Source organism: Homo sapiens, chromosome 6, assembly GCF_000001405.40.
Source record: "Homo sapiens chromosome 6, GRCh38.p14 Primary Assembly".
In the NCBI taxonomy this organism is placed as follows: Eukaryota; Metazoa; Chordata; class Mammalia; order Primates; family Hominidae; genus Homo; species Homo sapiens.
This window is the reverse complement of record NC_000006.12, coordinates 104,719,556-104,743,746: the sequence shown is the minus strand read 5'-3', so window position 1 is coordinate 104,743,746 and position 24,191 is coordinate 104,719,556. Positions and strand designations below refer to the sequence as shown.

Here is a 24,191-nt window from a genome sequence, read left to right as displayed (position 1 = left end):
TTTTTCTGTAATTCAAAGTAAACTTTAAAGTGTCAAGATTCATGGCCTAAAAAATAATTTGTGGTACTACACTTCTCTGAAAAGTTCACTTTTGGAACCAGTTAAATATAATAGATATTAGAAAACTAGATGATTTAACCATCTTTTAGCTTGTATTTCTGAAAGATGTAAAAAAAGTCTGATTTTCATTTTGGATAACAGAATTTTATCTTCTATTTATGAAAATGTAGTTTGGTTTTTTTCATTATAAATGTACATATTTCTCCTAGGAAAGTTAGAAAATAGAAAATTAGAATAAGAAAAACCATAGCCCATCAGCCATAACCACTATAAACAATTTAATATATTTTCTTCTATGTTTTTTCTGCATATTTAAAAAGCATAATAGTGAATATATATCTACATAAAATACATATATATAATTTTTTTTTATTATTATACTTTAAGTTTTAGGGTACATGTGCACATTGTGCAGGTTAGTTACATATGTATACATGTGCCATGCTGGTGCGCTGCACCCACTAACTCGTCATCTAGCATTAGGTATATCTCCCAATGCTATCCCTCCCCCCTCCCCCCACCCCACAACAGTCCCCAGAGTGTGATATTCCCCTTCCTGTGTCCATGTGATCTCATTGTTCAATTCCCACCTATGAATGAGAATACGCGGTGTTTGGTTTTTTGTTCTTGCGATAGTTTACTGAGAACGATGATTTCCAATTTCATCCATGTCCCTACGAAGAACATGAACTCATCATTTTTTATGGCTGCATAGTATTCCATGGTGTTTATGTGCCACATTTTCTTAATCCAGTCTATCATTGTTGGACATTTGGGTTGGTTCCAAGTCTTTGCTATTGTGAATAATGCCGCAATAAACATATGTGTGCATGTGTCTTTATAGCAGCATAATTTATAGTCCTTTGGGTATATACCCAGTAATGGGATGGCTGGGTCAAATGGTATTTCCAGTTCTAGATCCCTGAGGAATCGCCACACTGACTTCCACAATGGTTGAACTAGTTTACAGTCCCACCAACAGTGTAAAAGTGTTCCTGTTTCTCCACATCCTCTCCAGCACCTGTTGTTTCCTGACTTTTTAATGATCGCCATTCTAACTGGTGTGAGACGGTATCTCATTGTGGTTTTGATTTGCATTTCTCTGATGGCCAGTGATGATGAGCATTGTTTCATGTGTTTTTTGGCTGCATAAATGTCTTCTTTTGAGAAGTGTCTGTTCCTGTCCTTTGCCCACTTTTTGATGGGGTTGTTTGTTTTTTTCTTGTAAATTTGTTTGAGTTCATTCTAGATTCTGGATATTAGCCCTTTGTCAGATGAGTAGGTTGTGAAAATTTTCTCCCATTTTGTAGGTTGCCTGTTCACTCTGATGGTAGTTTCTTTTGCTGTGCAGAAGCTCTTTAGTTTAATTAGATCCCATTTGTCAATTTTGTCTTTTGTTGCCATTGCTTTTGGTGTTTTAGACATGAAGTCCTTGCCCATGCCTATGTCCTGAATGGTAATGCCTAGGTTTTCTTCTAGTGTTTTTATGGTTTTAGGTCTAACGTTTAAGTCTTTAATCCATCTTGAATTGATTTTTGTATAAGGTGTAAGGAAGAGATCCAGTTTCAGCTTTCTACATATGGCTAGCCAGTTTTCCCAGCACCATTTATTAAATAGGGAATCCTTTCCCCATTGCTTGTTTTTCTCAGGTTTGTCAAAGATCAGATAGTTGTAGATACGTGGCGTTATTTCTGAGGGCTCTGTTCTGTTCCATTGATCTATATTTCTGTTTTGGTCCCAGTACCATGCTGTTTTGGTTACTGTAGCCTTGTCGTATAGTTTGAAGTCAGGTAGTGTGATGCCTCCAGCTTTGTTCTTTTGGCTTAAGATTGACTTGGTGATGTGGGCTCTTTTTTGGTTCCATATGAACTTTAAAGTAGTTTTTTCCAGTTCTGTGAAGAAAGTCATTGGTAGCTTGATGGGGATGGCATTGAATCTGTAAATTACCTTGGGCAGTATGGCCATTTTCACGATAATGATTCTTCCTACCCATGAGCATGGAATGTTCTTCCATTTGTTTGTATCCTCTTTTATTTCCTTGAGCAGTGGTTTGTAGTTCTCCTTGAAGAGGTCCTTCACATCCCTTGTAAGTTGGATTCCTAGGTATTTTATTCTCTTTGAAGCAATTGTGAATGGGAGTTCACTCATGATTTGGCTCTCTGTTTGTCTGTTGTTGGTGTATAAGAATGCTTGTGATTTTTGCACATTGATTTTGTATCCTGAGACTTTGCTGAAGTTGCTTATCAGCTTAAGGAGATTTGGGGCTGATACAATGGGGTTTTCTAAATATACAATCATGTCATCTGCAAACAGGGACAATTTGACTTCCTCTTTTCCTAATTGAATACCCTTTATATCCTTCTCCTGCCTAATTGCCCTGGCCAGAACTTCCAACACTATGTTGAATAGGAGTGGTGAGAGAGGGCGTCCCTGTCTTGTGCCAGTTTTCAAAGGGAATGCTTCCAGTTTTTGCCCATTCAGTATGATATTGGCTGTGGGTTTGTCATAGATAACTCTTATTATTTTGAGATACATCCCATCAATACCTAATTTATTGGGAGTTTTTAGCATGAAGGTTGTTGAATTTTGTCAAAGGCCTTTTCTGCATCTATTGAGATAATCATGTGGTTTTTGTCTTTGGTTCTGTTTATGTGCTGGATTACATTTATTGATTTGCGTATATTGAACCAGCCTTGCATCCCAGGGATGAAGCCCACTTGATCATGGTGGATAAGCTTTTTGATGTGCTGCTGGATTCGTTTTGCCAGTATTTTATTGAGGATTTTTGCATCAATGTTCATCAAGGATATTGGTCTAAAATTCTCTTTTTTTGTTGTGTCTCTGCCTGGCTTTGGTATCAGAATGATGCTGGCCTCATAAAATGAGTTAGGGAGGATTCCCTCTTTTTCTATTGATTGGAATAGTTTCAGAAGGAATGGTACCAGTTCCTCCTTGTACCTCTGGTAGAATTTGGCTGTGAATCCATCTGGTCCTGGACTCTTTTTGGTTGGTAAGCTATTGATTATTGCCACAATTTCAGATCCTGTTATTGGTCTATTCAGAGATTCAACTTCTTCCTAGTTTAGTCTTGGGAGAGTGTATGTGTCGAGGAATTTATCCATTTCTTCTAGATTTTCTAGTTTATTTGCATAGAGGTGTTTGTAGTATTCTCTGATGGTAGTTTGTATTTCTGTAGCATTAATGGTGATATCCCCTTTATCATTTTTTAGTGCATCTATTTGATTCTTCTCTCTTTTTTAGTCTTGCTAGCGGTCTATCAATTTTGTTGATCCTTTCAAAAAACCACCTCCTGGATTCATTAATTTTTTGAAGGGTTTTTTGTGTCTCTATTTCCTTCAGTTCTGCTCTGATTTTAGTTATTTCTTGCCTTCTGCTAGCTTTTGAATGTGTTTGCTCTTGCTTTTCTAGTTCTTTTAATTGTGATGTTAGGGTGTCAATTTTGGATCTTTCCTGCTTTCTCTTGTGGGCATTTAGTGCTATAAATTTCCCTCTACACACTGCTTTGAATGCATCCCAGAGATTCTGGTATGTTGTGTCGTTGTTCTCATTGGTTTCAAAGAACATCTTTATTTCTGCCTTCATTTCATTATGTACCCAGTAGTCATTCAGGAGCAGCTTGTTCAGTTTCCATGTAGTTGAGTGGTTTTGAGTGAGTTTCTTAATCCTGAGTTCTAGTTTGATTGCACTGTGGTCTGAGAGATAGTTTGTTATAATTTCTGTTCTTTTACATTTGCTGAGGAGAGCTTTACTTCCAAGTATGTGGTCAATTTTGGAATAGGTGTAGTGTGGTGCTGAAAAAAATGTATATTCTGTTGATTTGGGGTGGAGAGTTCTGTAGATGTCTATTAGGTCCGCTTGGTGCAGAGCTGAGTTCAATTCCTGGGTATCCTTGTTGACTTTCTGTCTCGTTGATCTGTCTAATGTTGACAGTGGGGTGTTAAAGTCTCCCATTATTAATGTGTGGGAGTCTAAGTCTCTTTGTAGGTCACTCAGGACTTGCTTTATGAATCTTGGTGTTCCTGTATTGGGTGCATATATATTTAGGATAGTTAGCTCTTCTTGTTGAATTGATCCCTTTATCATTATGTAATGGCCTTCTTTGTCTCTTTTGATCTTTGTTGGTTTAAAGTCTGTTTTATCAGAGACTAGGATTGCAACCCCTGCCTTTTTTTGTTTTCCATTTGCTTGGTAGATCATCCTCCATCCTTTTATTTTGAGCCTATGTGTGTCTCTGCACGTGAGATGGGTTTCCTGAATACAGCACACTGATGGGTCTTGCCTCTTTATCCAATTTGCCAGTCTGTGTCTTTTAATTGGAGCATTTAGTCCATTTACATTTATGGTTAATATTGTTATGTGTGAATTTGATCCTGTCAGTATGATGTTAGCTGGTTATTTTGTTCGTTAGTTGATATAGTTTCTTCCTAGTCTTGATGGTCTTTACATTTTGGCATGATTTTGCAGTGGCTGGTACCAGTTGTTCCTTTCCATGTTTAGCGCTTCCTTCAGGCTCTTTTAGGGCAGGCCTGGTGGTGACAAAATCTCTCAGCATTTGCTTGTCTGTAAAGTATTTTATTTCTCCTTCGCTTATGAAGCTTAGTTTGGCTGGATATGAAATTCTGGGTTGAAAATTCTTTTCTTTAAGAATGTTGAATATTGGCCCCCACTCTTTTCTGGCTTGTAGGGTTTCTGCCGAGAGATCCGCTGTTAGTCTGATGGGCTTCCCTTTGAGGGTAACCCGACCTTTCTCTCTGGCTGCCCTTAACATTTTTTCCTTCATTTCAGCTTTGGTGAATCTGACAGTTATGTGTCTTGGAGTTGCTCTTCTCGAGGAGTATCTTTGTGGCATTCTCTGTATTTCCTGAATCTGAACGTTGGCCTGCCTTGCTAGACTGGGGAAGTTCTCCTGGATAATATCCTGCAGAGTGTTTTCCAACTTGGTTCCATTCTCCCCATCACTTTCAGGTCCACCAATCAGACATAGATTTGGTCTTTTCACATAGTCCCATATTTCTTGGAGGCTTTGCTCATTTCTTTTTATTCTTTTTTCTCTAAACTTCCCTTCTCGCTTCATTTCATTCATTTCATCTTCCATCGCTGATACCCTTTCTTCCTGTTGATCACATCAGCTCCTGAGGCTTCTGCATTCTTCACGTAGTTCTCGAGCCTTGGTTTTCAGCTCCATCAGCTCCTTTAAGCACTTCTCTGTATTGGTTATTCTAGTTATACATTCTTCTAAATTTTTTTCAAAGTTTTCAACTTCTTTGCCTTTGGTTTGAATGTCCTCCCGTAGCTCAGAGTAATTTGATCGTCTGAAGCCTTCTTCTCTCAGCTCATCAAAGTCATTCTCCATCCAGCTTTGTTCCGTTGCTGGTGAGGAACTGCGTTCCTTTGGAGGAGGAGAGGCACTCTGCTTTTTAGAGTTTCCGGTTTTTCTGTTCTGTTTTTTCCCCATCTTTGTGGTTTTATCTACTTATGGTCTTTGATGATGGTGATGTACAGATGGGTTTTTGGTGTGGATGTCCTTTCTGTTTGTTAGTTTTCCTTCTAACAGACAGGACCCTCAGCTGCAGGTCTGTTGGAATACCCTGCCGTGTGAGGTGTCAGTGTGCCCCTGCTGGGGGGTGCCTCCCAGTTAGGCTGCTCGGGGGTCAGGGACCCACTTGAGGCAGTCTGCCCGTTCTCAGATCTCCAGCTGCGTGATGGGAGAACCACTGCTCTCCTCAAAGCTGTGAGACAGGGACATTTAAGTCTGCAGAGGTTACTGCTGTCTTTTTGTTTGTCTGTGCCCTGCCCCCAGAGGTGGAGCCTACAGAGGCAGGCAGGCCTCCTTGAGCTGTGGTGGGCTCCACCCAGTTCGGGCTTCCCCGCTGCTTTGTTTACCTAATCAAGCCTGGAAAATGGCGGGCGCCCCTCCCCCAGCCTCGCTGCTGCCTTGCAGTTTGGTCTCAGACTGCTGTGCTAGCAATCAGCGAGACTCCGTGGGGTAGGACCCTCCGAGCCAGGTGCAGGATATAATCTCGTGGTGCGCCGTTTTTTAAGCCCATCGGAAAAGCGCAGTATTCGGGTGGGAGTGACCCGATTTTCTAGGTGCCGTCTGTCACCCCTTTCTTTGACTCAGAAAGGGAACTCCCTGACCCCTTGCGCTTCCCAAGTGAGGCAATGCCTCGCCCTGCTTCGGCTCGCGCACGGTGCGCACACCCACTGACCTGCGCCCACTGTCTGCCACTCCCTAATGAGATGAACCCGGTACCTCAGATGGAAATGCAGAAATCACCATCTTTTGCGTGGCTCACGCTGGGAGCTGTAGACCGGAGCTGTTCCTATTTGGCCATCTTGGCTCCTCCCCCAAATTTTCTTTTTTTTTTTTTTTTTTTTTTTTTGAGAGAGAGTCTCACTCTGTCCCCCAGGCTGGAGTGCAGTGGCTCGATCTGCAACCTCCGCCCCCTGGGTTCAAGTGATTCTCCTGCCTCAGCCTCCCAAGTAGTTGGGAGTACAGGTGCCTGCCACCACGTCCAGCTAATTTTTGTATTTTTTTTTTTTTAGTAGAGATGAGGTTTCACCATCGTGGCCAAGCTGGTCTTGAACTCCTGACCTCAGGTGATCCACCCGCCTCGGCCTCCCAAAGTGCTAGGATTACAGGTGTGAGCCACCGTGCCTGGCCTATAATTTTTAAAAACTGTGTTTTTTATTTTAAAAGTAGTGTTTAATCATTGTAGAAAATTTGGAAAATGGAGAAAATAGAAGAAAATTAAAATCCTTAATGTTAAGTGATCCCACTATTCAGAGATACATACAATTAACATTTTGCTTATTTTTTTTAGTCTTTTTACTGTATAGTTAGAAAAATAGTTGGACTCACACTATAAATCTAATTTTAAAGAATAAATAGGCTGGGCAAGGTACTTCTCTTGCAGTTTGTTACTGCCAAGTAAGCAGTATTTTTATGATAATATGGAAATAATTTAATATATTGTTTTTGTGGCTTAGAGATAACTAAAACGAGGAATTATTACTCTGAATTGTCAATAACTTACCACCCTTCCCACTGTTTTAGGTATTAAAGATTTGTTTTGGTATTAAAGATAAGACATTTATAGTAGTGCCTGTAATCCTAGCACTTTGAGAGGCTGAGGTGGGCAGATCACTTGAGCTCAGGAGTTTGGGACCAGCCTGGGCAACATGGCGAAACCGTCTCTACAAAAATACAAAAATTATCTGGGCATGGTGGCGCATGCCTGTGGTCCCAGCTACTCAGGGTTCTGAGGTGGGAGGATCACTTGAGCCTGGGAGGTGGAGATTGCAGTGAGCCGAGATTGCACCACTGCACTCTAGCTGGGGTGACAGTGTGAGACCCTGTCTCAAAAAATAATAATAATAATAAAAAATAATAAATAAATAAGACATAACTATTAACAGGTTATAGACTAAAAATATAAAAGAAAAACTTTTTTTTGTTTTTGTTTTTTGCCTCTGAATGCCAAGAAATACTCAGAGGCTTGAATAACTTAATAAAAAGGATGAAAAAATAATTATATTTTTTATGTAAGAAAGTTGATAATTTGACAATTCAGATAGGAGAAAAAAAACCACTTCCAATCTGTATTCCTAAAAATAATCACTGATAACATTTTTGTTATTCTTCTAGAATTTTTAACACATATACAATTTTTACTTTTAAAACTATTGTTATTTTATAACTTTTTGAATTTAGCAATATGTTACTAAATTTATAGATCTATGTAATTTTTAATGGCTATCTAGTTTTATTTTTAGGGACTTCCTTTAATTGATTCTTTATTGCTAAATTTTCCTATTTATGAATAAGGAATATTTTGTGCTTCTATCCTTGTGGGACAGTCTGATTATAGAGGATAAATTCTTAGGATATTTTTGTGTATGAGAATATATAAATTTTTATAATCTTGATATATATTCATTTATCTTCTAGAAGGGTATTGATGTCAGTAGAGAATGAGAGAATGTACTCCTTTTATCAGCACAGGGTATAGTCATTTTTACTTTTTTTTTTTTTGAGACGGAGTCTCGCTCTGTCGTCCAGGCTGGAGTGCACTGGCGCCATCTCGGCTCACTGTAAGCTGCGCCTCCTGGGTTCACGCCATTCTCCTGCCTCAGCCTCCCAAGTAGCTGGGACTATAGGCACCCGCCACCATGCATGGCTAATTTTTGTATTTTTAGTAGAGGCGGGGTTTCACCTTGTTAGCCAGGGTGGTCTCGATCTCCTGACCTTGTGATCTGCCCGCCTCGGCCTCCCAAAATGCTGGGATTACATGTAGGCGTGAGCCACCGCACCCGGCCCATTTTTACTTTCATATAATTTATTTTATATAGTTTTTTGTGTGTGGTATGAATTACCTATCTTTATTATTTGGTATTCCACAATCATTTTTAAAAATTCAGTTTTAAGTGTTGTTTATATATTAGGGGTATTAACTCTGCAAATAGTTTTCTTGGTGTATCAAAGTTAAATATAGAGATTTCCATGTAATTTAAATTTATAACTTGAAAGTTTTAAATTACGGTATTGCCAAATTGATTATCATTGCTTTCCTTTGTGGTTTTTGTAAATCCTTCCCTACTCCTAAGATTTTATATATATGTTTATATAAATTTTTTAATGTAAGTTTTTATAATTTCTGTTTTTACATTCCAATTTTTAAACCATCCGGACCTTATTTTGATTTATGTTGTCAAGTATATTTTTCTAAATGGTTTATACTTCAACACCATCTAGTGAATTACTATATTTTCCCCATGATTTGGTCAGTATGAGTCTTTAAGATGCAGAAATCAGTTATTCAAGTTTTTTAGTACTAAGTTGTCTCTTAGGTGGCTGCTCCTATAGAGTAAAACACTAGAATTAGTAATATGCAAGCCTTCTCCACTTTAAATAGTACAGTCATTCTTAGCAATGCTGAAAAAGAGGTGTGCTATTTATTATTTAGTTATGAAGTGTGGCAAATCCACACTTGAATGGAGGTGAAAGATGTGGGTGAAGAGTAGAAGCCAAGGAAGCTGAGGGGAAACAACACGGAGCTAGCTTCACCCTTGGATTGAAGAATTCACCTTTCAACATTGAGTGTAATTAGAGCTCTATATTTTGAGTTCAAACTGAGAAAGTTTTAAGCTTTTTAAAATCTTAAATTTTACCTCGAACTCCCAGTCATTAGTATAGGTATAGTACTTGTCATTCAAAACCAAAAGTATAAATTTTTTTTCTTTTTTAATTTTTGGATTCTGTATTCTGTATTCTGTATTAGTTTATATTTAGATACTGAAGTATCTTTCTACAGGTCTGTAGTATAATTTAGCGCAACCTTACTGAAAAATCAAACGTGTTCCAATTGTTGAACCAAGAATTAATACAAAAAGTGATTTTTAAATATTTTTATAGTATTGACATTAATATTTTGTTGCTCTATAAGGCCATCTTAAATGTTTTACTGTTTCATTATCCCTTAAGAATCAGACTTGATGATTTCTTTTTTTTTTTTTTTTTTTTGAGGAAGAGTCTTGCTCTGTTTCTCAGGCTGGATCTCACTCGGCTCACTGCAACCCCCGCCTCCCAGGTTGAAGTGATTCTCCTGCCTAAGCCCTCCCGAGTCGCTGGGATTACAGGCGCTTACCACCATGCCCAGCTAATTTTGTATTTTTAGTAAAGATGGAGTTTCACCATGTTGGCCAGGCTGGTCTCGATCTCCTGACCTCAAGTGATCCACCTGCCTTGGCTTCCCAAAGTGCTGGGATTACAGGCGCGAATCACTGTGTCCGGCTGATTTCTTTTTTTTCTCTTTTCTTTTTTTTTTGAGATGAAGTCTTGCTCTATTGCCCAGGCTGGAGTGCAGTGGTTGATCTCAGCTCACTGCAACTTCCACCTTCTGGGTTCAAGCGATTCTCCTTCCTTAGCCTCCAATTACAGGTGCACACATCACTTCGCCTGGCTAATTTTTGTATTTTTAGTAGAGACGGGGTTTCACCATGTTGGCCAGTCTGGTCCCTACTGATCTCAAGTGATCCACCAGCCTCGACCTCCCAAAGTGCTGGGATTACAGGCGTGAGCCACCGCGCCTGGCCAATTACTTTTTAAATAAAATAGAAATATGCCATTTTTGTTTACTGTAATTTTATACTGTATAATCTAAGTGTCATAATATTCAACCAAAGACTGTTTTATTTATTTTTCTCATATATACTTATGCCTGATGAATTATGATCTTAACATGATCAGATCTGATTATATAAGTATGGGGCCAGCCATATTTATTCATAGTGTAGGAAAAGAATAAGGTTTCAGGAATGGTTTATCAGCTTATAGAATAATTTTAATTAAGATGTTAAAACTAGAGGATCTTCTGAATTTTTAACTTACCGTTCAAAATTTACTTGTGTGGAGGACATTAGATTGATCATATTGATATTGAAATACTGTGCTATAATTTGTATAAAAATCAATGTCAACATTTATTTTCTCATCTTGCCTTGATAAAATAGTTACATTTAATTTGAAATTCGACATCATAGGAAATTCAGAACGACTTGATTTTTATCCCTTTTTATGTTTGGTCACGTTATTAATTTTTTAGGCAAAAGTTAAATCTATAAATTAACTAATGTTGAATTTTATTTCAACTTACAAGGAGATATAGCCAGGTCTTCTGTATATATTCTCTTGCTGTTAATAGGAATTGTTTATGCATTAGTGTCTTATAAGCAAGATTCAGGCATACTTTTAATGTTGCCTTGGTTTATTAAAGTAAGCTCAAGAATTTCATCAGTAAACCAAACCAGACGACTTCCCAGATAGAAGAGAAAATTGCTGTTTTTAGGGATTCTTTCATATTGGATTGTTAAATGTTTTTTTCCCTGTGGATGTATACATATCAGTGATTTCAAATAGACAATCCTGGTGCATATTTTCAACCATTTGTGTGTGTGTGTAAATGCATATCATAAAATGTATCATTTAAACAATTTTTAAGTGTACACTTTTGTGGCATTAAGTGCATTCACATTAATGTGTGACTATCACCACCATCCATCTTCTGAATTTTTTCATCTTTCCCAACTGAAACTGTACTTTAAACACTAACTCCCCCTCCTCCTTTCCCACCCGCCTCTAACAACCACCAATTTTATGTCTACGAATTTGACTACTCTAAGAACTTCGTATACATGGAATCATACAATATTTGTCCTTTTGTGATTGCTTTATTTCACTTAGCATAAGGTCTTCTAGATTCATCCATTTTGTAGCACATATCAAAATTTGCTTCCTTTTTAAGGCTAAATAATACTCCCTTGGCTAAATAATAATCCAGCCATCTGTTGATGGACACTTGGGTTGCTTCTACCATTTGGCTATTGTGAATAATGCTGCTGTATGCGCAGATACTTCTTTGAGTCCGTGCTTTCAGTTCTTTTGGATATATACCCAGAAGTGGAATTGCCTGATCATATGATAATTCTGTATTGTAATTCTGTTAATTTTGTTGAGGAACTTGCATACTGTTTTCCACAGAGGCTGCATCATTTTACATTCCCAGCAGCAATTTCTCCACATCCTTGCCAATACTTGTAATTTTCTGTCTTTTGTTTTTTTGATTTTTTGCCGATAGTCATCTTAATGAGTGTGAAGTGGTTTTGATTGGCATTTCCCTAGTAAATGGTGATGTTGAGCATCTTTTCATGTGCTTATTGGGCATTTGTTTATCTTTTTTTTGGAGAAATGTCTTTTTCAATTGTTTGCCCATTTTTAATCGGGATTTTTTTTTTTTTCTATGGGAATTCTTTGTATGTTCTGGATATCAATTTGGTGTCATATTCAATAAATCGTTGCCAAATCCAGTATTATGAAACTTTTCCCTTATATTTTCTTCTAAGAGTTTTATAGTATTAGCTCTTAGATTTAGGTCTTCAATCCATTTTGAGTTAGTTTTTAAGTAACTTAGTGTAAAGTAAGGGTCCAACTTCATTTTCGTTGTAGTGAATATCCGGTTTTCCCAACACACTTCGTTGAAAAGACTGTCTTTTCCCCTTTGAATGTTGTTGGCACTCTAGTTGAAAATCATTTCATTATGTATGTGAGGGGTTATTTCTGGCCTCTATTCTGTTCTACTGGTTCATATGTCTCTTTTCTTGGCAGTATCACACTGTTTTGATTACCACAGCTTTGTAATAAGTTTTCAAATCAGGATATGTGAGTCTGCCACCTTTGTTCTTTTTTTTCTAGACTGTTTAGGCTATTTGAGGTTCAACTTTTTTTTTCAGTGACCTAAACTATGCTTTATGTTATAAATCATATTTTTAAGAAAGTATTTTAAATTTTATTCAGATGTTTGCAAGTATGTATTTAGTAACCTATACATTAAACGTTCCTTTGTCATTTTTCTAATTTATCCAAAAAGCACTACAGCACCTCATTTTAAAAGCAATAGAATTTTTTTTTTGTATCAGTTTAATCATGATATGATACACGGGCAAACTTTAGAAGAAATATTAATTTTCTTTTTGATGTGTATAGAACTTGAGAAGTTGTAATTACATCCTCTACAGCCATGTACCCAAGATTAAATTTTCTACTGATGTGTTATGCATTATATGTTAGCCTTCCTGTGGCCTCATTATGTTAGATGATGTTTGAAAAATATATTTGATATTCTGAATATCAAATCAAAGAGGAACATAAAGAATTTTTCAGTTTTTCCACTATAAAAAACAAAACAAATCTTTAGGGCCTAGATATTTTTCACAAACAAGGAAATCATTTGGATTACATGTCAGAGCATTTATTGCTTGAATTAGTCAATCGAATATTAATCTATTCAACAAACATTTAATGAATGTCTACTCCAGGCATTTTGCTAGCCCCAGGGATATAGATGTAAATATGACTTGTTTGGGCCCTCAAATCAGCCCCACTTCAATAGAGAGCCACATGAAAGCAAATAATTGTAAATGTAGCATACTAAATGCAATATTGAGGTATGTGCTGTGGCCAGTTGCAAGCATAGTATAGCTTATGGAAATGTGGAGGGGTGTCTCCATGGAAGCTTGCTAACTAATCACAAAGCAACTTACAGTAATGAATTGGAGTTTTGTAGACTAAAAAGTGTCGTGTTGTCATTGTCCTAGAGTTGGATATATTCCTACCCTAACTTAGAACTTGAAATTTATCTGTCACAAATATCTTTCTTTCATGATTACAATGTATTAAGATATAAACTCTTAGTTCCAGGGTCCCACATGGTGGGTTTGCTAATATCATGGGTGGAAGTGGATTGCAAAACTTTACAATCGCTGCTGTGCCATATACTCCAAATCTTTTACCAACTTCAAGCACATGGTATGTTGACTTGGTTTATTTAAATGCTTTACAAATTGTTTTGATTAATTTTGAATGATCAGAGATCTAACTGTTGCTGCATTGGGAGGAAAACCTCAGCTGTGATCTCTCTCCAGGATTTTGGAATCACTGATGAGTAATTATGTAGTTTTTTGTGCCCCTGTTTTTGGTAGGGAAAATGTTTGAGGAAGCCCTAACTCCCTACAATTTAATTGACTATAGTTCAAGTATCACTAAAGTTACACTACCGTAAGTAGCACTGAGTTACACACCATCACTTCAAACTAAATTGCCCTATTGCTTATTTATTTTAAGCTGAAAGGAACGTATTTTCTTCCACTGCATTTGCATGCTGAAAGAAACTGCAATGCAGCAGATTTTTTCTTCTTTTTAAATACCACTTTAGGGTTTTTCAATCTGAATGCAAATTTGGGAGGATGATTTTATGTTAATTATGAGTAGTGTTTTCACTGCTAGGCAAAACAATCAGAAATTTTATAGATTTCCTGTTTAATGGTGGTATATTTTTCTTTTAAAGCATCAACATGCTCAAGTTACCTGAATACCCAAGTAAAGAAATACTCAAGGACAGACTTCTTGTGGCACTACATTGTGGCAGCTATGGTTACACAATGGCATAATGAAGTCTGGAAAACTCCTCTGACTACTGATGCACAATTCAGAATGGCAGAAGTAATTTGGGAAAATGTCAACAAAAAAGCAGCCTAAATGCAACCCATAGGCAGGGCTGATGCTTCCAATTTATAAAGGATCATCAGGTTTTCTGTTTCTCTCTTTTCCCTTTTATGTTTTCTCTGTTTGTGATACAATTAGAAAATATAAAATCACAGTAGATTTTATTTTTTAAAATGCTAACTGAAAGTAATAGAGACTGTCCTTTTTCATAATTAATTTTATCCAAGATTGTATTAAGGCAAAATCTGATTCTACATTCCACCTCTGCTATGTAACTGTCTTGTTAAAAGGGTGTTTTCTCCTAATTTCTGATATATTATATGAGGTCATCCAGCTGGTGTGTTCTTTTGCATGTAAACTGCCATTTATATTTTAGAAAACTATTGTATAGAATGGATTTAGATTGTCTATAAAGCCACAAATACGTATTTTGCCACAGTGTATTCTATATTGCAATGATTTTTTTAGCATTTTAATATTTTAATATATATTGTAAAATTTAGACTGATGATACTAACAGTTGATGAAATGACATATAATTTATATATGAAAGCTTACGCTATATTGTATGAATTATTTGCATCTTTCAGTGGCCAGTTTTCCATATGTATATATTATGGTCTCAATGTTTTTCTTACGCCTCATTTTAATTTATAATGAAGGTAAAATTAAAATGTATTTTACCACGTTTCTTTTCATTACTTTTATCTGTGAGCTCTGACACATCTGAAAAAGTAATCTGATGTGCAAATTATAATTTAAATATGTTAATTTTTTTGCTTCTTAAATTTGCTTTTCATCATTAAAATGTCAAGTTCAAGTGATATGTGCCTAATATCACTTGGATGTTGGTGGGTTTTTGAATTTTTGGGTGGTTAATCAGTTTTATTTTGAAAAGACGTACTTGAATAGTTACAGCATATGTTTGAACAGGAAGTAGGAACATGCATACACGAAGAAATGCTAACGGAAGGATTTGTTATGTTTAGGATCTTCCCTTGGAAACTAAAAATAGAATATTAATGACATTACTGTTTGTAGAATGACATATGCAGATTTTCTCATAAGCAGTCATTGTGTTTGCCAGTAATGTTTGAGAGACATGTAAGTTGAAAGTTTTGCTAAATTATAAAGCTCCTTTAATTCGTTGGTTTTGATTCTCTTATTCTCTTGTCTTTTCTAAATGTTAACAAAATATATCTTAACAGATTACATGAAATTTAGGAATTATTTAAAAGTTACCATTAGCTCTAAAATTAAGATTCGGATGCTTTATTTATAGTAACTGAAGCTAATAATGTTTTATGTTTTGATTTTTTGAAATTTAATTGTAGAAGTCACTGCCTTCTGAGTTTTCAAATAGATAACCACCTTTAATATTACACTGCTTATAATACTAATGTTTACAGATATGTTTCTGTTTATAACCATATAATACATTGGCTTTGTCATATTAGTTTTTTTTGCAAGTAGTTATGTAAAAGAGATAGATAATAAAATATTAAATAACTGAGTGTGGTGGCTTATGTCTGTAATCTCAGCATTTCGAGAGGCTGAGGTGGGAGAATTGCTTAAGACCAGAAGTCAAGACCAGCCTAGACAGCATAGGCAGACCCCATCTCTACAAAAAAATAAAAATAAGCTGGGCATGGTGGCATGTGCCTGTGGTTGGAAGGCTAGGTGCGAGATCGCTTGAGCCCAGGAGATCGAGGCTGTAATGAGACATGATCATGTGACTGCACTCCAGCCTGTGAGACTTTGTCTCAAAAAAAATATATATATGTATATATTCATATACATATATATGTGTGTACATATTCATATACATATATGTGTGTACATATTCATATACATATATATGTGTGTATATATTCATATACATATATATGTGTGTATATATTCATATACATATATATGTGTGTATGTATTCATATACATACGTGTGTATGTATTCATATACATACGTGTGTATGTATTCATATACATACGTGTGTGTGTATTCATATACATACGTGTGTGTGTATTCATATACATACGTGTGTGTGTATTCATATACATACGTGTGTGTGTATTCATATACATACGTGTGTGTGTATTCATATACATATGTGTGTGTGTATTCATATACATATGTGTGTGTATTCATATATGTGTGTATTCATATACATGTGTGTGTATTCATATACATGTGTGTGTATATATATTTGTATACATATACATGTGTATATATATTCGTATACATATACATGTGTATATATATTCGTATACATACATGTGTATATATATTCGTATACATACATGTGTATATATATTCGTATACATATATGTGTATATATATTCGTATACATACATGTATATATATTCGTATACATATATGTGTATATATATTCGTATACATGTATGTGTATATATTCGTATACATATATATGTGTATATATATTCGTATACATGTATGTGTATCTATATACCCATATATATACCCATATACATATATATACACACACCCATATGCATATATATAAAATAGTATTTTAACCATCAATTTGAATATTTTAAAATATAGATCTGCTTATTTTAGGATTTATTTTTTCACATTTTTAAAATAAGAGTGTAGTTAATATAAAGAGATTTTACAAAGATTAAAAATACTATTTAGAGGTAGCATCTTTCTAATTTACTCCATTCCCACAATTTCTTCTGTATGTAGATGGATATGTTGAATGCAAGGTAGTATAGAAAAATGGTTAGATTTTCTCCTTTGGGAAAAAGATTATATTAATAGGAAAATGACTCAATTCTTAAAACATGGTAGTTTCATATAAGGAAGAAAACAGAAATAAAACACTCGAATATAAAGCAAGGGAATGTATTATAGGAAACTGATTAATGAAACTATCTGGGCAGAGTAGATTAAGTTATCCAAATAGTTTGAGGAGATAGTTATTAACCACGTAGTTAATAAAATCCATTTTCAAGTTAACCCCAAAACAAAATGTAATAGAAGGAAATCCCAGCTTGGAAATAATCTGCTGAACACAGCCTCTACTATTCAGGCAGTCTTTTGGGTATCGGGAAACGCAAGCTTTAAAGGATAGCTCACAAGTTGGAGGCCCAGGAGATGATTCCTACTCACATGTTTTGTTTGTCATACTGTTTCTAAAATTTTGAATGAGTTACCAAGATTTTACAAAACCTGAAGATTTCATGCAGAAGTCAGGAGTTTTGGGTCCTTTTGAGCAGTGAGACAATCTGACAATATTGGGTGCATGGGTGCATATTCCTGCAAAGCATTATGGAATTGAGTAAATGCTGCTGCTTTGAATAACTAAATGCCCTCTCCAGTTTGCCATTTCCTCCTCTCTCTCTCTCCCCCCTCCCTCCCCCCTCTTTTTTCTACCCTCTTTTTTTTTTTTTTTTTTTTTTTAACTCTGTTGCCCAGGCTGGAGTGCAGTGGCATGATCTCGGCTCACTGCAACCTCCACCTCCTGGGTTCAAGTGATTCTGCTCCTCAGCCTCCCGAGTAGCTGGGATTTTAGGCATGCACCATCACACCCGACCAATTTTTGTATTTTTAATAAAGACGGGGTTTCATCTTGTTGGTCAGGCTGGTCTTGAACCCCTAGGGACCTCAAGTGATCCACCCGCCTCAGCCTCCCCAAAGTGCTGGGATTATGTCACCACACCAGACCAGTTCGCCATTTTCTTAGCCCAGCATGCTTCACTACTCTATGTTATCTTCCTGGCCATTGAAAGCACTGGAGTCTGCTTTAAAGAATCTATGTTGATCAGAAATGTTCCCTTAGATTGTAAATTGGTACAGATTCTTTGGAAGGCAATTTGGTAGCACCACCAGATTTTTTCAATGTACGCATAGTCTTTGACACAAAAATTCTAAGAATTTATATCTTAGGCATCCACTTGTTCATGTATATAAGGATATTTGTCCAATGATATTCACTGAAGCCTTGTTCGTGATAGAGGAAAACAGAATAACTTCAGTGTCTATCAGTAGGGGGCTGACTAATAATGTGTTACAGCCCTAGAATAGAATACTAATTGGTATGTATAAAGAATGAAATGTATCAATACATACTGATATGTAAATGTTTCTAAGGTGTTAGTGAAATAAAGTGTATAGAAGAATGACTAATGTGAAATAGAATATATATGGGATTACATGCAACAAAAATTTCTGAGGAGGTGAATAAGAGACTATTGCTATATCTGGGAATGAGTTGTATAGTGGGATGGACTTCTCCCACTTTGTAACTTTTTTTTCCCTGTTTCTCCAAATCATATGCCTATGTTATTTTCTGTATGATACATTTACATATATATGTGTGTGTGTATGTATATACACATACATATATATAAACATCCACTATCTTTAATCCAGAAAAGAAGTATCATTAATAGGTTTTTTGAATCTATAAAGTGCCATAAACAGTATTTTATGTAGTGATAAACAGTATTTTCATAATCACAAAACTTATAATTTTGTTTAGTGTGTTTAATTTAAAACAAGTTTAATTGAACTCTTTGTAAACAGTTAAAAAAAAAAAAAAGGAATGCTCTCTTGCCCACAAAGTTGTTTCCACGTTGCCTGATAATTAGCACTGTTTTTAGCTCTCTCTAATTCTACCAATTAGAGATTTATGAACATTTCTCTCCCTTAACTTTTTTAAATAACAAAAGGGGTACTTAATATGGGAACATCTGCAAAGCATAGATTAGTGTACGAACTGGTAAAAAGCAATAAATTATAATTCTACTACCCAACAATTGTGTTATATTTTCTTCTATAGCAATTCATTTTTTACACAGTTGAGTTCATAAAGAATATAGCACGTAGTATCTTCTTTATTTACTTAGCATTTTGTTTTAAACATTTTTCATGTCATTAAAACTTTTTTAATTAAAAAAAGTGCGTTATCTAGAGATGGAGGTCTCTCTGTATATGTTGCCCAGGCTGGACTCGAACTCCTGGACTCAAGCGATCCCCCCACATCAGCCTTCCTAGTGGCTGGGACTGCAGCTGCATGCTATTGTGCCTGGCTTGTTTGTAAACATTTTGTGGAATGGTGGCATAATGTTTTGTTGTATGGATTCATCATAATTTACTTGACCATGTCTCTAAAATTAACATTTAGATTTCTAATATTGTTGCTTTTATAAATAACAGGTAGCCTCTTAAAAACTGCTTATAGTCTAGGAGGGATAATATTGTCTGGGTTATTTGTTGAAATGTCCATCAATTGCTCTGTGGTCATAGAATTACTACTTGAAGGCTCAAGAAAGGGGTGTTGGAAGGAGGAACCCTTTGGTAGGTAGGACAGCAGCACAGTTAGGGCTAAGTGCCCTACCAGAGTGTAAAAAGTTATAAAGGGAGCCAAAGCTGTGTGATGAAAGTAAATTATTTTAATCATTGCCAACCTCCAGTCTCCTACCCAAGAACAGGGGAGGAAACTTATCTTTATGACACAAGCCCCATTCACAGGACTCAGCACTTGAGCACTTGCTATTATAATATATTGTATAGTTCAGCTATGTCAAGGATCATTTATGCTCTTGTGAGCTGAACTAGGAACTTAGCCTTCATTTATAACGTTTCCAAAACTTAGACTTACAAGCTTTTGGAGTGCAACCCTTTTGTCAATTGCAGAGTGTGTAATAGTTGTCTTTATGAATAGGTGCTTAGCTAATAATGAAATTTTGAGGCCAGATACAGTGGCTCACGCCTGTAATCCTGGCATTTTGGGAAACCAAGGCAGGAGGATTGCTGAAGGCCAGGAGTTCAAGAGCAGCCTGGGCAACATAGTGAGACCCCTGTCTCTGTAAAATAAAAAAAATATAAAAATTTGGTTATTTTTACCACAATTTAAGGTACATCAGTGTGTATCAGCAGTCAAGATTTTTTCATGTGAAACATGTTTCTCTGTTCTCCTGCACTTCCACAGTTCTTAGACAACAAAATTCACTTTTAAGGTTAACAATAGCAACAGAAATTCCAATGTTATTGTTTGTTTTAAGCTATTTTAATGTGAGCAGATTTCTGTTAGAATGTCCTTGGTAAAAGTCTTAGGTACTGAGTTATTGTAACCTGCCTACTGGTCTGGTGTAAATTGGCACATACTTATTTCTTCAATTTATAATTAGTCCCTTCACTTTACAGGTGAGAAAATTGGAGACCCAGAGAGGTGGTGACTTGTGCAAGGTTTCTGGGATACTTGTTAACCAAATGAGAATTTAAAACTTAGACTTTCTGATTCTTAGTCCACTAGGGTTTCTGTTATTCCATGCTGTCTTTTTATGACATAACTGCATTATAAAAATACTTTTAGAGAAACACCTGCAGCCTATTAATAGTCATGTATGACAAGCCTGTTGAGAAACTATAACTTAATAAGCTGATACTTAAGAGTGATTAATAGGACTGTATTTCTTCTCTCTCACTGTGCCACAACAAGCTAGTGTGGGTATTTTATCATCTCAAAATTAGAAAGAACAGATGTATTGTCAGATCATAGATCATGGGTAGTCATTAACTTTTATTATCTTTATAAAAATGTTTAATTTCAAGCATACTTGGTGCTTCAAAATATATTGTGCATCTAATGTTGCAAAACCATTGAACTATAAACTGAGAATCTAATGACTATTACTATATGTAGTACTTGTGTGAGTGAATCGAGTCTGTTTGACTGAAATGGAGGAAAGTGGTCCTGAGTGGGTGCTGGATATATAGTTAGTGCAGAAAACTTTTCAAATCAACAAATTCCATTGACTGCCTCCCATGTACTTAACCGTGGTTTAGGGACTGTGACCCAGTATTTACCCTTAAAGGAAATAAAATTCACCTGGGTAGGTGAAAAGTATATTTGAAACAGTTTTAAAAACTGTGCAGTATAGCATATGTTTAGGTGTAAAAAACCAGCTACAGAAACATTGGCGCGGCGGCTTGATGTAAACTCTGTGTCCAGTGCAGCTTCAGGTATCTGGCTTAAGTGAATTGCTACATTATTCTCTAGATTTAGAGACAAGTAAGTTGACCAACCTGTTGATTGAGCAAATAACTGAAAAGGATAAAAAATGCTAACCATCGTAAAATAAGGCTAATGCGTGGCAGTCATTCATTAAATTGTTCTCAAATTTTTCATTGGTGAATTATTAGCTTGCTCAGTTCCAGCTTCTGGGCATTCCTTGAGAATTTGATATCCTGGTGGTTTTCATGATTTGGAGACTGTTATGTGTTCATATAGCAATCATATTTGGAGATGGCTCTACATTTTTCTCAGAAGATTGGCTTCTTGAAAGAAGCTTATTGTAGGAGTGGGGAGAATTAATTAAAATGGTATGTGTACAGTGTTCCTTTATATAATATTTCTGTTTTCCTAGTATCTAGGAATAGAGAAAAAATAAATTGGTATTCAAATTCCAAGATTCTATATACAGTGGCCTACTTTACATCTTCACTTGGATGTTTTTTTAGGAATCTCAAACTTTAAATGTGTCCAGAGAGGAGCTCTTGTTTCCCTGTGGTCAGCTGCCATCTGTCACCCCATCCCAGTCTTTCCTGTCTCAGCAAATGGGTACCACTTAATTGCTCCAGCCAAAACCTGAGATGATGACATCTTCTCTTCCTCTCATCTAGTGTATCCAACCCATCACCAAGTCTTGTTGAACTTACCTGTCTAGTATATATTTTAAATTAGCCAACTTTTATTACCCTTGTCCAAGCCACCCACCTTCAGTTTCTCAGACTGCAATAGTCTAACACAAAAGAGGGCAATATAGCGCTATGGCTAGGAGCACAGACTGAGGGGCTAGACTACCTGGATTTGAACTCCAGCTTTGACTCTATTAGCTGTTGTCAAGGGCTCAGCTGAGCTGGGAGAGAGATGAGCTGTTAGGTGTTGGAGTAGCCAATTAAAACAAGCCAAAAATGAAAGAGTTAAGTCTTAAATCGCTGTGATGGGATAAGCAAGAGGCTAAAAGGGGAGAAGTCACCGACTTCCTGTTCGATGTCCCCCAAGGAACTGTGCACTGATTGAGGATTAGGCAGATAAGTACAGACGTGGGGTCATCTCATTGCTGAAGGAACCCTGTGGTTTTATGGACTCGGGTTGAGTACAGTGAATGAGAAGTTGGGGAGGAGGGTGAAGGGGGAGAGCTGGGAGTTGAAAACTACTGGGGACTGAGTCAAAGTGGGGAAACGTGTTTTCAAGCCTCCCCACCATCACTCCCCTCTCCTCCCCTTTTGTTTGAGAAGGAGTCCTGCTCTATTGCCCAGGCTGGAGTGCAGTGGGGTGATCTCGGCTCACTGCAACCTCTGCCTTCCGGGTTCAAGAGTTTCTCCTGCCTCAGCCTCTGGAGTAGCTGGGATTACAGGCGCGTGCCACCACACTCGGCTAATTTTTCATTTTTAGTAGAGACCAGGTGTCACCATGTTGGCCAGGCTGGTCTCAAACTCCTGACCTCAGGTGATCTGCCTCCTTGGCCTCCCAAAGTGCTGGGATTACAGGCGTGAACCACCGCGCCCGGCCCAAGGTTTCCCCTTCTTAGGGAGGCTTTGACAAGAAGATCTTTGCCCAAGGCCTCAGGTAAAGAGACTTAGGAATGAAGGTGCCTGGGCTAGTAATGCAAATATGTTTGTATAAGAGCGTCGCTGGGCCGGGCGCGGTGGCTCAGGCCTGTAATCTCAGCACTTTGGGAGGCCGAGGCAGGCGGATCACCTGAGGGCAGAAGTTCTAGATGAGCCTGGCTAACATGGTGAAACCCCGTTTCCACTAAAAAAAAAAAAAAAAAAAAAAAATTAGCTGGGCGTGGTGGCACGCGCTTGTAATCCCAGCTACTCGGGAGGCTGAGGCAGGAGAATAATTTGAACCCGGGAGGCGGAGGTTGCAGTGAGCTGAGATCTCGCCATTACACTCCAGTTTGGGCAACAAAAGCAAAACTCCGTCTGGGGGGGGGGGGAGGGGGGCGGGGAAGAGCGTGGCTGCCCGGGAATTTCTGAGTTTGACTGCAGCTCCCTCCAAAGACTGCAGTGCATTTGCTGCGCACCAAGTCCATATCCGCAGGTTCCACAGGGCCCACGGCAGAACTCGAGTATTCACAGATTTTGAGGTCCTTGGGGGTCCTAGAACCAATCCCCCACAGATACCGAGTGTAATAGAATACTATTCAGCAATATAAAGATACAGGCAACAACATAAAAGAACCTCAAAAGCAAGACACAAAAGACAGCATACTGTATGACATTTTAGAAAAGGCCAAATTACTGGAACAAAAACCAGATCAGTTGTCATCAGGGGCTCAAGATTAAGGGAGTACTTTACAAAAGGACACAGGGGACTTTCTAGAATGATTAAAATGTTCTGTATCTGGATCGTAGTACTGGTCACATGGCTGTGTGCATTTGTAAAAAGACATCAAACTAAACTTTAAAAAGGTAAAGTTTATTTCTGGCCAGGCGCAGTGGCTTCACGCCTGTAATCCCAGCACTTTGGGAGGCTGAGGCAGGTGGATCACGATGTCAGGAGATTGAGACCATCCTGGCTAATACGGTAAAACCCCGTCTCTACTAAAGATACAAAAAATTAGCCGGGCGTGGTGGCGCATACCTGTAGTCCCAGCTACTCGGGAGGCTGAGGCAGGAGAATGGTGTGAACCTGGGAAGCAGAGCTTGCAGTGAGCCGAGATCGCCCCACTGCACTCCAGCCTGGGCAACAGAGTGAGACTCCGTCAAAAAAAAAAAAGTAAAGTTGATTTCTATAAATTACACTTCAAGAAAAAAAAAAAAAAAAAGAAAAAGAAAAGAAAAATCTATCTACTCAATTCACAGAAAAGGCCTGGAAGTTTCAGAGGTATACAGAGGGAAAACATGAGCCATAAGCTAGAAAAGGAAGTTTGTTACATCTGTCTGACAGGATTTCTCTGCATAAAATATTAACACCTTGTTAATAAAATTATTAAGTAAAGCAATCTCTTTAAGAAATGAGACCTACACACATATAATCAATTGATTTTAAACATGTTCATTACCTCCCAAAGT

The 24,191-nt window shown here is 37.1% G+C and overlaps 1 protein-coding gene across 18 annotated transcripts in view; it reads left to right on the top strand.

The window, feature by feature from the left end:
- The window catches only part of HACE1 (HECT domain and ankyrin repeat containing E3 ubiquitin protein ligase 1), a 131,826-nt gene extending 116,173 nt beyond the window's left edge, over positions 1 to 15,653 (top strand). For all 18 annotated transcript variants that reach the window (NR_146787.2, NR_146789.2, NR_146790.2 and 15 more), the window contains 2 exons: positions 13,331 to 13,444; positions 13,983 to 15,653. Coding sequence is in view for 11 of the 18 variants with exons in the window: in NM_001350555.2 (NP_001337484.1) it covers positions 13,331 to 13,444; positions 13,983 to 14,085 (217 nt within the window). In the remaining 7 variants the exon portion in view is untranslated. The remainder of the gene's footprint in view (positions 1 to 13,330; positions 13,445 to 13,982) is intronic.